The following is a 17,053-nucleotide window of genomic DNA, read 5'->3' as shown; positions in this document are numbered from 1 at the left end:
CCTGCCTCCATGTCCTCCAGCTGTTGCCTCAACTATTGCCTTCTCGACATGTCTGAGTGGAATGAGGAAGCCCTTCCTCCACACCCCACAACACCTTGGACCTTCGTAGACAGAAATGTTCTCGTTTCTTATCCGCCTGTCCCTGCCCACTGGTCTTTAGAACACGAGTGGCTTACGCATGGCCATTGAATAAGAGTCTGTCAAGCAAATGAAATGGCCAAAATACAACAGAATAAATTGCGACTGAATTACAATCAAACTCCCTTTTCCCTGAAAGGTTTATTTCTTGGCAGCATTGGATAGGTGTTCCCTCCGAGGCCACACAAAGTGATTCGGCCTGGAGTCCCAGGATGCGGAAAATCTTCAATCTCCTCTTGGAGTTTGTCTGTTCCAGGTTCCAGGAGCACCCAAGTGGGCTCTAATCAAGTGTGACGGTCCCTCAAATCTGTGTCACCTTGCAGATGTTCAACGGAAGGAACTGTGTGAGCGCAAGTGATAGATGCCTATCCCGAAGCTCAATAGCAAGAAGAAACGCTGACTCCACTCTCACTGCAGAGCTGGGAGGAAAAGCAAGAGCTTTATTTACTTAGCGCTCCCCAAATTCTTAATTTGCACACTTGAAAAATTAAGTCAATATACAAGAATCACACAGTTCTAGCCCTGTAGATGCTTTCCAATATTGGAGTGTGTTTGAAGTGGCCGCAAGAAATGACCCCCCAAATCTACCCATCTTGTAGCAAAATCCAACTGTTTTCAGATAAGCCTTTCTGATAACTCTTCACTGTGCTTTATCGGCCTTTAAGTTGAAATCCTACTGCTTTAAGTACATCTCTTTAAAACACAAAAATGGTGTCTGCATATTCCTCACACTAGAATCCATCTCCTGGCAAAGCTGCAGTCCCGTTTCCTAGTTTTAAATTGTGTTGTTCCCCCACTGAGTGAGAGCTCAGACATATGTATCCCATAAATTCAGAAATGTTGATCCTCAGAGCAGATGAAAGGATGAATAACAGGGTAGTTATAAACCAGCAGCCTGCATCATATTTTACCTCGAATTTCAAAATACATCATAGGGACAGGTTTCCCCACGTCAGGAAATGGTATCCAAACAGTTCAAACCGGTTTCTCAGCTGCCTCTGTAAAAACTGCTTTAGCTTAGTTATAAAAATGTTGAACTCTATTTAGGTTCTCATTATTGCCTGAAGTTTTGATTCATTATATGGCCTTTTGTTAGCCAAACAACAAGCTCCTCTAAACATCTTTGCAGGACACACCACAACCTCAAATGCTATGGGTGGCCGCATACTTAACCTCAATACAAACCCTTCCAAGGAGAAGCCATCTAGTCATAGATACAATTCCATCCAATTAGGATCTTATTTTTTTAATACAGAAAATACATTCAAGACCCAGGAAGCCTGAGCAGTAAAGGCGGAGGTCTGGTGAGTGAAATACTGAGCCACATATGTGTGGGGATCAGCTGCCATAGAGTAAGACGAGGAAAGTGTATGAGATGTGTGCACGGCACATGTTGAACTGCAAGATGAAGAGAGCGTGGATTGTGCATGCAGATGGCCCACAGCATCCGGTCAGGATTCCCCAGAGAACAGGGCCAGTAGGGAGGGCATCTATCTATATATCTATGCATCATCTACTATGTATACATATAGAATATATTATATATCTATGCACATGTACCACATACAGATACACCCAAACATGCACACACACACACACACATCATGGACTGTGCATGCAGACAGCCCACAGCATCTGGTCAGACATTATGTATGGTCAGTGTTCTCCAGAGAACAGGGCCAGTAGAGAGGGCATCTATCTCTATATCTATGCATCATCCCCTACCTATACATATATAATACATTATATATCTATGCACATGTACCACATACAGATACACCCAAACATGCAACACACACCACACACACACACACACACCACACACACACACACACACACACACACACCGTGGACTGTGCATGCAGATGGCCCATAGCATCCGGTCAGGGTTCCCCAGAGAACAGGGCCAGTAAAGAGGGCATCTATCTCTATATCTACACATCATCTACTATCTATACATATATAATGCATTATATATCTATGCACATGTACCACATACAGATACACCCAAACATGCAACACACACACACACACACACACACACACACACACACACACCCCATGGACTGTGCATGCAGACGGCCCACAGCATCTGGTCAGCCATTATGTAAGGTCAGTGTTCTCCAGAGAACAGGGCCAGTAGAGAGGGCATCTATCTCTATATCTATACATCATCTACTATCTATACATATAGAATACAATATATATATAATATATACATGCACATGTACCACATACAGATACACACACACACACACACACACTCACACACACACAGAAACAGATTTACAGTCATGTGTCCTTTGGTGAAAGGGATATGTTCTAGAAACATCTCATTAGGTGATTTCATCATTGTGCAAACATAGAGTGCACTCACACAAACCTAGAGGGTACAGCCTACTACACTACACACCTAGGCTAGATGGCATAGCCTATGGCGTAGCCCATGGCTCCTAGGCTACAAACCTCTACAGCATGTTACTGTACTGAATAGCAGGCAATTGTAATGCAATGGTGAGTATTTGTGTATCTAAGAATAGAAAAGGTACAATAAAAATACAATATAAAATATAACAAATAGTACACCTGTACAGGGCACTCATCGTGAATGAAGCTGGCAGGACAAGAAGTGGCTCTGAGAGAGTCAGGGGATGGGTGGGGAGTGACTGTGAAGCCTGGGACGTTACTGCACATGCCCGTAGACTGCAGGAACACTGGGCACTTAGGCCATACTCCATTTATCAAAACCATTGTTTCTTCAATAATAAATCAGCCCTTGTTTGCTGTAACTTTTTTATTAACTTTTTAAATTTCTTAACATTTTTACTCCTTTGTAATAATACTTAGCTTAAACCACAAACACTGTACAGCTTTAGTCTAAAAAGTTTATAGACTAAGAAAATTAGGAAGAAAAATATTTTCTTTCTTTATATTTAGTCTATAAGCTGCTTCTATATTTTTGTTTTTACTTTTTTACTTTTTAAACTTTCTTGTTAAAAACCAAGACACAGAATGTTTTTCCATTTGTTTGTGTCATCTCTGATTGATTTGAGCAGTGTTTTGTAATCCTCATTGTCGAGGTCTTTAACCCCCTCAGTTAGCTGTATTCCTAGTTATTCTATTCTTTTTGTGGCAGTTGTGAATAGGACTACCTTCCTGATTTGGCTCTCAGCTTGAATGTTGTTGATGTATAGGAATGCTAGAGATTGCTGTATGCTGATTTTCCATCCTGAAACTTTGCCGAAGTTGTTCGTCAGTTGAAGGAGCTTTTAGGCTGAGACTATGGGGTTTTCTGGCTATAGAATCGTGTCATCTGAAAAAAGGGATACTTTGACTTCCTCTCTTCCTATTTGGGTGCCTTTTATTTCTTTCTCTTTTCTGATTGCTCTGACCAAGGCTCCCAGTACTATATAAAATAGGAGTGGGGAGAGAGGACATCCTTGTCTTGTGCCAGTTTTCAAGGGAAATGCTTCCAGCTTTTGCCCATTCAATATGATATTGACTGTGGGTTTGTCATAGACGGATCTTATTATTTTTTGTATGTTCCTTCGATACCTAGCTTACTGAGCGTTTTTAATATGAAGGAATGTGGAATTTTATTGAAAGCCATTTCTGCATCTATAGAGATGATCATGTGGTTTTTATCTTTAGTTCTATCGGGTACTAGGCTTCATACCTGGTTGACGAAATAATCTGTACAAAAGAACTCCATGAATTTACTGATGTAACAAATTTGCACATGTACACCTGAACCTAAAATAAATTTTTTCAAGAAGTATATCATCTACAAAAACTCACAGCTAACTTCATATTTAATGGTGAGAGGGTGGAAGCTTGCTTGTGAAGATGAAGAACGAGGCAAGGATATTCCCTCTTACCACTGATTTTCAACACTGTACTGAAAGTCCTAGCTAATACGGTAAGACAAGAAAAGGAAATAAAAGGCATACAGATTGGGAAGGAAGAAATGAAACTGTTGGTTTGGAGGTGACATGATTGTCAATTTAGAAAACTTGAAATAATCAACCACAAAACGAGGGATTTTCATGAGGTTGAATGAAATAAAGTTAGTATACAAAAGCCAATCACTTTCCCATATACCAGCAATGAACAATTGGAATATGAAATTAAGAACATAATATTATTTACATTAACACCCCCCAAAATGAAAAACTTAAGTATAAATTTAACAAAATATGTACAAGATCTATGTGAGAAAAACTACAAAAATCTGATGAAAGAAATATAATAACTAAATCAATGAAGAGATATTCTATGTTCATGGACAGGAAGACTCAATATTGTCAAGATGTTGGTTCTTCTCAACTCCATCTATAGAATCGTTGCAATCTCAATCAAAATTTCAGCAAACCATTATATGAATATTGACAAAAAGAACTTTTCTAAGTTTTTTATGAAAGTACAAGAGACTCAGAACAGCCAGTACAATATAGGAGAACAGAGTGAGAGGACTGAGCATTACCTGACTTCCAGGTTTACAGTAAAGCTCCAGGAATCAAGACAGTATGGTACTGGTGGAATGACAGCTGGATAGACCAATGGAACAGAACAGAGAGCTCAGAAACAGACTGACCTAAATAGAGTCAACTGATCTCTGGGAAATCAGCAAAGACAATAAAATGGAGAAAAGAGATTTTTTCAACAAATGATGCTGGAACAACTGGACATCCACATGCAAGAAAAGTGAAATGAAAAGAGCTCTCCTGAAAGAGGGTCTTTGAAAGTCACCTGTGACAGCAGCAAAAAATGCCCAGCAGGACCTGCGACACTCAGTGAGCTCTCCCAGGAATGCAATGGCTGGACTTCAATATCCCTCAGCCCCCATCTCTGTAAGACTTTTCATAAAGGCTACAATGATTCTTGTCAGTCACTTGGGCCTACCAACCTCCTAGGTAGGATGCAGTACTGAAGGGGTCATCAGTACACTGCCCTCAGGGGACTCTGCAGCCCCGTGGCTTTGTAGTTGATGCTGACCTTAATCCCCTATGTGTCCCTGGCTGAAGACAGGCCCCAAATACAGAGGCCAGGCCAGAGAGCTCATCTGATTAAGTCTATTAAGGCTCAGTAATAACAATAAATAAATAAAGTAACATAAAAATAAACAAGACACAAACACACACCTTAGCCTCAGCCTACACAGAGTCAGGATCACACACGTCACTGTCTTTCGCCTCCTCCTCTTGTCCCTCTGGAAGGCCGTCAAGGGTCAACGACAGGCATGGAGCTGCCAGCTCCTAGGAGGACACCTCCTGAAGAACCCGCCTTTGGCTGTTTACAGTTAGATTGTTTTTATAAGCAGAAGGAATACACTCTAAAATAACAATAGAAAGTATAGTATGGTAAATACATAAACCAGTAACCCCGTGGTTTATTACCATCATCAAGCACTGTGTACTTCTATGCTCATGTCCGTAGGTGCTAGACTTTTCTATGACTGGCAGCATGGTAGGTTTGTTTACAGCAGCATCACCAGGGTGACTACTACATCATGAGGCAACAGGAATCTTCAGCTCCGTTACAGTCTGATAGAATCACTGTGCTATATGCAGTCCTTTGTTGACCAAAAAGTTGTCATGTGACACATAACTGCAGTTTAAGAGATTTATTTCAATGAGTTGGCTTCTGTGACTGTGGGGATTGGCGAGTTCAGATCTGCAGGCCAGACTCTGGGCAAGGCTGTCCGGGAACTCTTTGGCGGCCCCCTGCTGCAGCCTTCAGGCAGAGGTTCTTCTTCCTCAGGGAGCCTGCATGCTGCTCTGAGGCCCTTTCAACTACAGGAGGAAGCCCACATACGCAGTTGTGGAAACCCCCTTATGTGTAGTCCACTGACCACAGCCTTTACCCGCATCCACAACACAGCGCCGTGTGGCTCGCGTGCCACCAAATGACCTGGCCTGGCTGATTGGACACCTGAAACTGACCATCAGGAGTGGGTTGGCTGCAGCCACAGGTGCCCATCCACCAGCTCCCACTCAGTGTTTGTGAAGTGGGACCCCCTCCCACCTCCGCCTTGCAGGGCAGCATAGGGGGCAGGTGAAGGGGTCTACACCAGTGATTCTCTGGCTCCCGCCATCTTCCTGGGGTTGGATGAGGGGACCCACTCTGTCAGAGGGGACAGAGCATGGCCTGTTCACTCTGCAGCCCTGGGAGTAACTGGCCAGGCATCACCTGGGCCTAGGCAGGGCAGGCAGGCCAGGATGAGGGACCGGGCAGAGGAGGGGAGGAGAGGTGAACACCAGGACACAGGAAAAAGAAAATGTCAAAGGTGGTCGAAGACAGAGAACACTGAGGTTTCCATCCTGGTCTATTTCCACAATGGCCTCTCATATATCCATGAGACTGAGCTGCCTACAATAGCAAAGACATGTGTACCGCCACAGATACTGTATTGGCAACAAAATTCAGACCTACCAGGTACGTACGGCAAGATCCCATTCAATATACTCCAGGTGGGGTGTGGCTGCTGGGTAGTGTCAGCTGTGAGGACAGCAGCCAGGCTGGCGTGGTGGCTGGGGGGCAGGACACTGGAGCTTTCTGATAAGGAGATGGCTACATGGTGTCCTCGCCTTGTAAGAATGCAGTCACCCTTTGGTCTGTGCACTTTTCTGTATAAAAATTAAAAGTTCAAAGAAAGAAAGAAGAGTGCTTACCCTGAAGCTTGCCTCAATGCCTCTGAATGTCACTTGTGTCTTAGGCTAAATTCTTGTATCATGGATAGAAAAACCACCTGAGGAATTAAATACTTTTTCAAATATCTTTCATGTGATGGTCATCCAGGGAGATGAGAAAGGCATATTTTATCACCTCATCCCAAGGATAAGAAAACAGAGGTATGTGGAGGATGAATAGCTCAGCCAGGCTCCCAGGAAGCAAGGACCCCACCTCCATAGAGATGGGACCCCACAGAGCAAGGGTTCCACCTTCCTAGGGACCTGACCCCACCTAACATAGGCCTCATTTTTATAGGGACATGACCCCTCCTAGCAAGGAATCTACCCCATAGAAACACTACTCACTTATAAAGGGCCCCCCTCTTCATAGGGACACGACCCCACCCAGCAAGGGCCTCCATCTTCACCACCTTTATAGGGACATGAACCCACCTGGCAAGGGATCTACCTCCATAGAAACACTGCCCACTTATAAAGGGCCTGCTTCTTCATAGGGACATGACACCACCTAGCAAGGACAACCTCTTCATAGGGACATGGCCCACCTAGCAAGGGCCCATCTTCATAGGGACATGACCCCATCTCACCAAGTCCCCATCTCCATAGAGACATGACCCTACCTAGCAAGGGCCCATCTTCATAGGCACACGACCCCACCCAGCAAGGGCCCTCATCTTCACCACCTTTATAGGGACAAGAACCCACCTGGCAAGGGATCTACCACCATAGAAACACTGCCCACTTATAAAGGGCCCGCTTCTTCACAGGGACATGACTCCACCTAGCAAGGACCACCTCTTCATAGGGACATGACTCACCTAGCAAGGACCACTCCTTCATAGGGACATGACCCCACTTAGCAAGGGCTGCCCCTTCATATAGGGGCATGACCCCATCTAGCAAGGGCCACCTTTTCATAGGGACATGGCTCACCTAGAAAGGACCCATCTTCATAGAGACATGACCCCACCTAGCCAGGGCCGTCCCTTCATAGAGATGGAGCCTAGACACAACAAGATTTTTCCACCTCCACCAGGATCTGCAGGGGACCTACGTGCTAAAATAATATCTCAAGCACTTTTAATGGTAACTTTGAAATAAGATTTGATTAAAAAACACAATACATTAAGTGGGCCTTAGTTTTTATAAAGGTGTTACGATGGCTGAGGACGTGAAATCTGACACTCTGTGTCTCGGAATGCATCCCAAGTCAAGGAAAGCAGCTGAGCAGGCTGGTTCCTAAACAGGGCTGTGGATTTAACATGATCCTGGTCTGTTTCCTAACTTTGCCAATGACATTTTGGAGAGCCTGGACTATATAAGATAGATTCCACTTTTGTTAAATTAAACAGGATTAGTGACAAACAGGTGTTGCACTTAAAAGATCCACAAGGATAAGGGATGTCATTTTAAATCTGTTTTAATGGGACATTAATATTGTAAAATGTTCCCCCATTAATTTACTCAATGGATGTTTCTTGTACATCTATTAAGCTAAGTTACTCCCTTGCAGGAGTCGGATTTTGCATCCAGCTTCCTCTCTGTGTGCTGTGAGCCCAGGGCCAAACACATGACCTCTTAATGCCCCAGGTGTAGAAAGATAATGGTCAATCTACCTTGCTGGGACCCTGATGGCAGGTACACACTGTAAAGTCCCGTGCTGTGCGGCCATCACTCATTCCCAATTCTAAACCCAGGCAGTCATCTTAGGCATTTCTTGAAAGTTATTTGATCCCCTTTCACTGATGTGCGCTGGTGTGTGATGAAGAGACCACAGAGGCACCATTATATATGTCCTTGCCTTTGGCCAAATGGGAACAGTGCAACGGTATTGAGTGTTGGCATCCGTGGAGAGGGTCTGCATCTGAGCAGCATGCCGGCATCCCCAGGTGCATGCCAGAAGGGGGAGGTTCGGGGTTTCTCAGGGTGGGCTTTGAGTGAATGTCAATCAAACTCCCAAGTTTGCCTGCATAGAGAAGGTTCCTTTGACATGGGGCCAGGCGATCGTGCCTTAAGGGGCTCTGTAAACAGGGAGACTGAACAAAGTGTGAATAATTGATGAAAGAGGGCCCCAGATAGCCCACCAGTTCCACCAGGGGTATTTAATGTAATGCAAGAATGTCTAAACCAGTGAAGAGACAAATACAAAACTCTGTAATCAGACAGATTTAGACCCATTCCCTCGGAAGCTAGAAGAGGCTGCAATGGGCCAACGGCTGGGCCAGGCATGTGTGGAATGGCCTAAAGCCTTTTTACCTTGCAAGTACCAGCTCCAGTTACAACAATAACACAGACACTACAATCTATTTACACAACATGGAACTGAAGCCTGGCAGGAGTTAAAAGCTGCGCTGCGATGTCTTTTGTTAGAATCGGCTATTCAAAATCAATTTGAAAATGGCAATGAAAAAATTTTATTTCAAAACACACTACTCTGATGGAACCAAACTGTTTAAATGAGGGTCAGGAACGGCCACCGGCAGGCACGCAGGGCAGTGAGGGGTGCGATTACCCTGCCTCCATTTCCTATGTCCGGCCTCAATATCCAGTTATTTTCTCCATTTTCTTCAGCACCATTGGTAAGAAACACTAATTGATAATTGTGCATATTTATTTTGCCCTGGCTACAAAAATCTAAAAACAAATAGTTTTCTCAAAACTGTTTTATTCACCACAACAGAGAGAGTGGAGGCCACACGGTCAGATCCAGGCTGGACTCTGCTGTTTACACATAAATTATAGCAAAATACTTCTGGCAGTGCCACCCCTGCTAATGGCAGTCGGATTGCCACTGTGTGTCCAATTAAAAGGGTGTAAAATATCACAGTCATGCCGCATAGCACGATTACCCAGCTCCAATCTGACAGGGGGCTTAGCGGCCAGGAATGTGGATGCCAAGGAGGACTCAAACGCAAAATTTAGGATCTCTATTTCCTGGAAAGGGAATAAGTCAAATCTATCTTAATACAATTATTTGGACAAATTTCTGAAATATTAGCTTTATGCTTTCTTTCTATCACTGTTCACAGATATGAGGAACACTTAAGTGCAGACAAACGTAGGGAGATACTTCTAGGATAAAATGACTCAATGCATTTATGTTAACTTAGAAATAAATTCCAGAATTTCTCCAAATTTCAAAGATCCAAGAAAGGGACGGAGGTACTCCAATTTCTCTTAAGAAAACTAAAAGTGTTCAACTGTCTCCCCCTTCATGGGCACACGGTGGGTGGGAGGTGTGAGTCTGCCTGTCTCCTCCACGGGGGATGCTCTCCGCAGCACACAGCAGGCCGATGCAGCACCCCGGCTCCGAAGATCTAACCCAATACCTTCTCCTCCAGAAACTTCCATGACCCAAATGGCTAAGGGAAGTAGCATTTTTAATAGACTTTACTTTTTAGAGCACTTTTAGGTTCACAGCAAAATTGAGCAGAAGATGCAGAGCTCCCACACACCCCCATCGCCACACAAGCAGAGCCTCCCCTCTATCAACACCCTGCTCTGTGCGGCAGCTTGGTCACAAGGGATGAGCCACAGTGACGGGTGATTGTCACCCAAAGGCCGCAGTGCACATGCGGGTCCCTCTTGGTGCTGTGCATTCTATGGTTTGGACAAATGTATCATGACATGTGTCCCCCATTACCTGTCGCTTGGAACAGTTTCACCACCCTCGAAACCCTCGGTGCTTGGCCTGCTCACTGCCTCCCCGCTGAACCCCTGGCAGCCAAAGATCTCTTTTCCATTTCCATTGTTCTGCCTTTGTTGGAAAGTCATAAAGTTGGTGTATGAGTCAGGGTGCGCCAGAGAAATAGAACCCATAGGACACACACACACACACACACACACACACACACACACAGGTGCACACAGACGCACGCACACAGACACACACACGCACACATACATACAGGCACACAGGCACACACACGCACAGGCACACAGACACACATGTGCGCACACAGGCACACAGACACACACGTAAGTACAGGCACACAGGCACACACACATGCACACATAAGACACACACGCACACACATGCACACAGGCATGCAAACAGGTGCACACACATGCACACAGACATGTGTGCACACACAGACACACGGGCACACACGCACAGACACACAGGCGCGCATACACACGTGCACAGACACACAGGCACACACACACATGCACACAGACACATGCGTGCATACGCAGATGCACACACACACATATATATTTCCAACAAGGGACTGGCTCCTGTGGTTATGGAGGCTGAGGAGACACAGGTCTGTGGTCAGCGAGGTGGGGCCTGGGAGGCTGCTGTTTCAGGAGTGGAGGGGCGGGAGTGGAAGGGAGGAAGTGGAAGGGCAGGAGGAGCTCGCTCTTACCCACTGGAGGATTGGTCTTTCTCTCTACTGGGGCCTTCAAGGGGTCGGATGAGGCCACCCACACTAGGGCAGGCATCTGCTCGACCCTGTCGACTGGTTCCAACGTTGTTCTCTTCCAAAGCCCTTCACAGACACACCCAGGATTGATCATAACTGGGTATCTGGCCACCCCACAGACGGACAAGTAGACACGTAAGATTCACCATCGCGGGCATGTCCAACATACGGGATGCTGTCCTTTCACACTGGCTTCTTCCGCTTAGTGTCTTAGCTCAGGGCGCCATTACAAAATACCACAGGCTGGTGGCTTAAACCCCAGAAGTTTGTCTGTGGCAGCTCTGGAGGCTGGCAGGACACGGTCGAGGCATTGCTGTTCCTGTCCCTGGTGAGGGCGTCTTTGCATTGTGTTCTAAGGAGACAAGCCCTCCCTTCTTAGAAGGACACGAACCCTGTCCTGAGGGCGCCAGTCTCATGACCTAATGACTTCTCAGAGGCCACACGACTAGCACCATCGTCTTGGGGATCGGGATTTCAACAGAGGAATTTGGGGTGCAACACAAACCTTTAGTCCATAGCACTGAGGGGTGCTCATGACAGGCTCCTTCATGCCTTTTCGCAGCCTCCTGGCTCGTTTCTTTTTAGTGCTGAGTAAGATTCCACTGTGTGGGTGCAGCACAGCTTAATTCACCCCCTCGCTGACTGAGGGGCATCTTGGCTGCTTCTGAGTTTCGGTAATTATGAATAAAGCTGCTATAAACATCCGTGTGCAGGTTTTGGTGTGGACAGAAGTTTTCAGTTAATTTGGAGAATACCAAAGAGCAGGAATGTTGGAGTGTGTGGTAAGAGTGTGCCCAGTTCCATAGGAAGCTGCCCAGTGGACTTCCAGTGAGGCTGTGGCGGTTTGCATTCCCACTGGAAGGCACGCACATGAAAAAGGAGAGCTTCTCACGGTGTTGGCAGCCCCCTTCCTGGAGGTCTGTGTATTTGGATTCCTTTTTTTTTTTTTTTGAGACAGAGTTCTGCTTTTGTTGCCCAGTGCAATGGTGTGCAATGGTGGAGTGCAATGGCACGATCTCAGCTCACCCTAACCTCCGCCTCCCAGGTTCAAGCAATTCTCCTGCCTCAGCCTCCTGAGTAGCTGGGACTACAGGCGTAGAGATGGGGTTTCTCCATGTTGGTCAGGCTGGTCTCAAACTCCTGACCTCAGGTGATCTGCCCACCTCGGCCTCCGGAAGTGCTGGGATTACAGGTGTGAGCCACCGCGCCGGGCAGGATTCCTTTTTAACCTCTCCTCTGCTGCTCTCTTCATTCCGTCCAGGAGCAACTCCTGCATGGCCCCCTCCACACTCCCACACCAGCCGCCCCTCGCCTTTGACGCCCACCTGGTGGACACCTGCACAGTCCTCCCAGGGGGAACAGTTCTCGGCTGAGCACCTTGCACCATTCCCGGGCCTCTGGGCTTGAGGGGCTTCAACCTGAAGGTCCACCTGCATCCTCAGCAGAGAAAGCTCCAATCTTCACTCTGCCATGAACAAAGCAGGCATCGGTCCCTGCCCCTCTTGGGCCAGCCCAAGCCTCAGCTTCCCCACATCTTCTGCTTCTTCTGCTCACACCTTCAGGCCTGCAGGGCAGGAAGGAGGTGGCCTCTTTCCACTGAGGTCCTCGGATCCGGGGAGGAGGTCTTCTCTCCAATTGCCACCGTGACCTCCCATGTGCCCAAGGCTCTGGGGCCATCGGCAGCAGCCCCTCGTGCTTCAGGAGCATCATACCCAGGAGGGGGCATGACTGCCTGAGAGGAGGGAGAGTGCCTTCCTCCTAGTAGAGCCTGGGGGCTCAGGGGAGGCTCGGGCTGGGGCTTAACATCATGGATGATTTTATGCTTTTGTCTAAAGTTTTGATGGATGATTTTAAATTTGCGGCCTTCATGGTAGAAATTTATACAATGCTTTTAGCTTCTCAATTTAATTTCTCATTCATTTTGTCATTTTCTTATCTCGGTAAGGCAGCTATTATTTGTCACAAGAAACTGAGACAAATAGAAAGCAGTGAACTCCATAAACTCACACCAGAAAATGAAACCCAGAACGTGGTCTGGAATCAAGGCCTTGAGTGTGGTCCTGGGCTCTCTCTCCTGAATCCCAGGTCAGGAGACACCCCCTCCCGACTGCTGGGTGTGCATTTGCTCCTGCTCACATCCCCCATTGACTGTTCCATGCAACAGGGGCTGCCCTTCCATATTTCTCTGAGCTCTCCATTGCTCTCTCTGCATATCATTGCAACTGGCATGCCTATTAACCACCATCACCGCCGCCACTGCAGCCACCATCGCCGCCACCACAGAGGAAGTTTTGTGCGCATTCTGAGCCAGGTACTCTTCAAAGCACTTTACATGAATTAACTCATTAAACCTCTTAGCAAATTATCCCATTTTATGGTGAGGAAACTGAGGCACAAATAAGTTAAGGAAAGAAGTCCACAGTGAGGGACAGGGTTAGGGTCTGAGCTCAGGCCACCAGGCAGGGGTCTGCTTGGAACCACAATGAGCGTGTGGCTTTGTCAGGTCATGTTCTCCCCTGGGTGCCATGAGAGCTGCACTAGGACATGCCCGAGGCATCTGACCCATCTCCTCCCCTGGAACAGGCACTCAGGCCTGGGGGCAGGGGGCACAGAGGGGCTCAGTAAGGTCACAATCAGCAGATGGGTCTCCCCAGAGTGCAGAGAAATGGCAATTCTGCCCATGGGATGCACCTCATCCTCCCTCTCCACACACCTCTCTGCTCCTTCACAGTGGAGCTTCTGATAAGTCACAGGAGGCCACGAGCACACAGCAAGGTGAAGCAACTCCACACAGAGAGGAGAGCCACGGCCACGAGTGCGCAGGGAGGTGAGGCGACTCCATATGGAGAGAAGAGCCACGGCCACGAGCGCACAGCAAGGTGAGGCGGCTCCGCACAAAGAGGAGAGCCATGGCCACGAGTGCGCAGGGAGGCGAGGCGGCTCCAGATGGAGAGAAGAGCCACGGCCACGAGCCCAGAGCAAGGTGAGGAGGCTCCGCACAGAGAGGAGACCACACCTGGCCTCCTGAGTGATGATGGGGCAAAGCCCGGACTGCCCCTGGCCTCGGTCCTGCCCGAATCCACCACAGCAGGTGGTGATGGACCAGCACAGGCCACGTGTTTGAGGTGACTGAGAAAGGGGTTCCATCACCAGAGGTGATTCTTCTCGGGTCCCCTGCTCTGGAGTGCACAGGATATATTCTATGTAATTGCATTTTCACGCTTCTGGAGAGAGGAACATGGACATGTGTTTATTTAAGAAGTAAAACATCTCCTTCCTTTCATTCCAAGCTGCATATGCTCAGTTGTCACAAAAATGAAATGCTTGCCGCCTCCTTCAAGGCATCCAACTGGATGGCCCAAACCTGGCAGAGGGCCATGTCCCCTCCAGGGCACCCATAGCTGCTCTGCTCGTCTTCAGGAAACAGTTCAGGGACTCTGTTTTCCGGTCCTGTCTTCCAGGAGCCCTGAGGGATAAGTCCTTGTATCCTGTGTCTGATGCCAGGCACTCACTGATGGCCACTCAGGGCCTGTGTGTCCAGGGCCAGCGTTTGCCCCCATCAGGGAGCCTGCTGGGTGTTCCAGAAAAAAAGCGGGAAAGGCCACCACTCGGGGTGCCCAGTGGAGGCTGTGGCTGAGGAAGGCACGTCGCTTGGCATCACCTTCCAAACCTTCTACATGTCCTGGGAGGAAACTGACTTTACATGGGTGTGCACATGTGGAGGCGGCCAGGGGTCAGACCTGCTTAAAACACCGCATGTCGCTGGGGGCACTGCCCCTCACCGGTGGACTGAGACGTGGTGACCTTCAACACACGCTGTCTTGGGGGCTCCTCCCCGCCATGCAAGACCAACAAGGGGCTCTGAATCCGGGGCAGGATGAAGGCTGGGGTGACAATGATGAAGGAGAACCAGCCATAGGCATGGCAGAGACCGACACAAGCTGGTGAGGGGCTCCCTGGCGCGGGCTGGAGCGTGCAGTCCCTAGGAGTCCAGTGGATCACCTGCTTCCCTTCGATTCTGGGCTAGAAGAGGAATAGGAATGCCCCTTTCTTTTGGCCAAGGCCTGCACCTCTCAGGGTTCCCATCCCGAGATGTGGACTCCGTGTCTGAGGGAACAGCGCCTGCCCCGCCCTCCACCATGACCCCACCCTCTTCCTGGGGCTGTCCCAAGCAAGTCATCTGGGCAGCTAGAATATGAATGGCAGATTCTAGAACAAGCTGGCTCAGCCTCTGGCATGGTCACCACCTGTGCCCTGGCCATGCATAGAGTGGGATCCTGTGTGAAATGGACTGTGCTGGGTTAGGCTGAGGGACCAGATGAGCAGCGATCGGACATGGTTATGTAAGAATCTGCTTTCATAGCAATTTTCTACTTTGTAGCTTACTTTTCTATACTATTCGCAGGTTTATGACATACTACCACATTCCTCAGATGCGAGAACGTAGCAAGTGTGGAGGTCTCTGAGGGTGCTGGGCCTGTCCCCAAGGCCAGTGCCGCCCATGGGAGGGAAGGTCACGACACGGTGAGGGGGCACCACACAGGCCCTGTGGAGCAGCCACCCGCCATCAGACTTTGCTGGGCAGTTTCACAATTGTCAACGTCCACCAGGACAGTGAGGATCCCACATAGGGGCACCAGGCTCAAAAGCAAGGTCTGCAGAGGGCAGGCCCCAAGGATGAGCGAGAGGCACACACAAGATGCAGAGGGCCAGGCCAGGGGGAGTGCAGGAGGAGAAGCAGGGAGAGGCAGGGTGGGCAGGGGTTAGCAGGAGGAGAAGCAGGGAGAGGCCAGGCGGGTAGGGGTGAGTAGGAGGCAGAGCCAGCCATGGACACAGCGCTGGGAGCCCGGCTGACCGTTGGAGTACTGCACCTTCCCCAGAAAAGGCCCCTGCTGAGCTGACCCTCGGCCTGGTGCGGGAAGGGCTGTGTGTCTCTGCAGCAGAAAGGAGCTTCCCAGAACAGCCGCTCTGTAGTCTGCAGGAAGAAGCCAATTGGCCAAGCCAAGCGTGTCAGAGAGGAGTGCAGACGGCTTGGCTTTCATGACCAAAGAATGTGACGGGGCAGTAGACACAGTCATATTGTTGCAGTTGTGTGTCCTGCACTGAGTATGTGGGTTGATGGTGGCCCCAAAGAGATATGTCCCCCTCTGAATCCCTGTAAATGTGACCTTATTTAGAAAAAAGCTATCTCCATGATTAAGTTAAAAATCTTGAGGTGGGGGGATCACCCTGGATTATCCAAGTGGGCCCTAAATTCAAGAACAAATATTTTATAGGAGAAAAGTGGAGGAGATTTCACCCAGACAGAAGAGGAGGAGACGACGTGGCCCCAGAGGCAGAGCCTGGAGCGATATGGCCACGAGCCCAGGAGCACAGCAGCCAAGGGGAGCTGGAAGAGGCAAAGACGCTTCCTCCCCCAGAGCCTTTGGAGAGTGCAGCCCTGCAGACATGGGGCTTTTAGACTTCCGGCCTCCAGAGCTTTGAGAGGATGAACTTCCGCTTTTGTGAATCGCCAGTTTTTTGTCATTTGTTACAGCAGTCGCAGGACACCCGTGCACTTTTTAAAGTGCTATCAGGTTTATTTCAATTTGCTCCTCACCGCAACCCTGTGACATGGATTTTAATTGTCATTAACATCAAGAAAACTGGAATAAAGAGTAATATTTCCTCCCAGTGTAGTCTTGGGAACTTCTCCCTCAGAAGCCCCTGGGTGCTTGTTGAAAGTGAGCATTTCCACTCTCTCCAGGCCTTTGGATGGCAGTCTGAGGCGGCCTGAGTGGCTACAGAGTCCAGTCC

General features: G+C 48.3%; 1 long non-coding RNA gene across 2 annotated transcripts, besides 1 other annotated feature; it reads right to left on the bottom strand.

Moving 5' to 3' along the window:
* Nucleotides 1-260: 260 nt before the first annotated feature.
* Nucleotides 261-5,617, bottom strand: LOC105374621 (uncharacterized). Of its 2 annotated transcripts, XR_925702.3 has the most exons (3): nucleotides 5,535-5,611; nucleotides 5,280-5,427; nucleotides 261-557 (listed from the first exon to the last, which is right to left on the bottom strand). It is a non-coding gene; the product is annotated as an uncharacterized LOC105374621 (long non-coding RNA). The 2 variants fall into 2 exon arrangements; XR_007059095.1 differs by lacking the exon at nucleotides 5,280-5,427 and having other exon boundaries at nucleotides 5,535-5,617.
* Nucleotides 12,798-13,298: an enhancer, noted in NCBI's record as "H3K4me1 hESC enhancer chr5:3029100-3029600 (GRCh37/hg19 assembly coordinates)". NCBI's record gives its function as "activates a minimal SCP1, AML or CMV promoter by ChIP-STARR-seq in primed H9 embryonic stem cells {active_cell/tissue: H9 hESC(primed)}" and the evidence as "EXISTENCE:reporter gene assay evidence [ECO:0000049][PMID:30033119]".

The sequence above is a fragment of the Homo sapiens genome, chromosome 5, assembly GCF_000001405.40.
Source record: "Homo sapiens chromosome 5, GRCh38.p14 Primary Assembly".
Lineage (NCBI taxonomy): Eukaryota > Metazoa > Chordata > Mammalia > Primates > Hominidae > Homo > Homo sapiens.
This window is presented reverse-complemented; position numbering and strand designations above follow the sequence as displayed.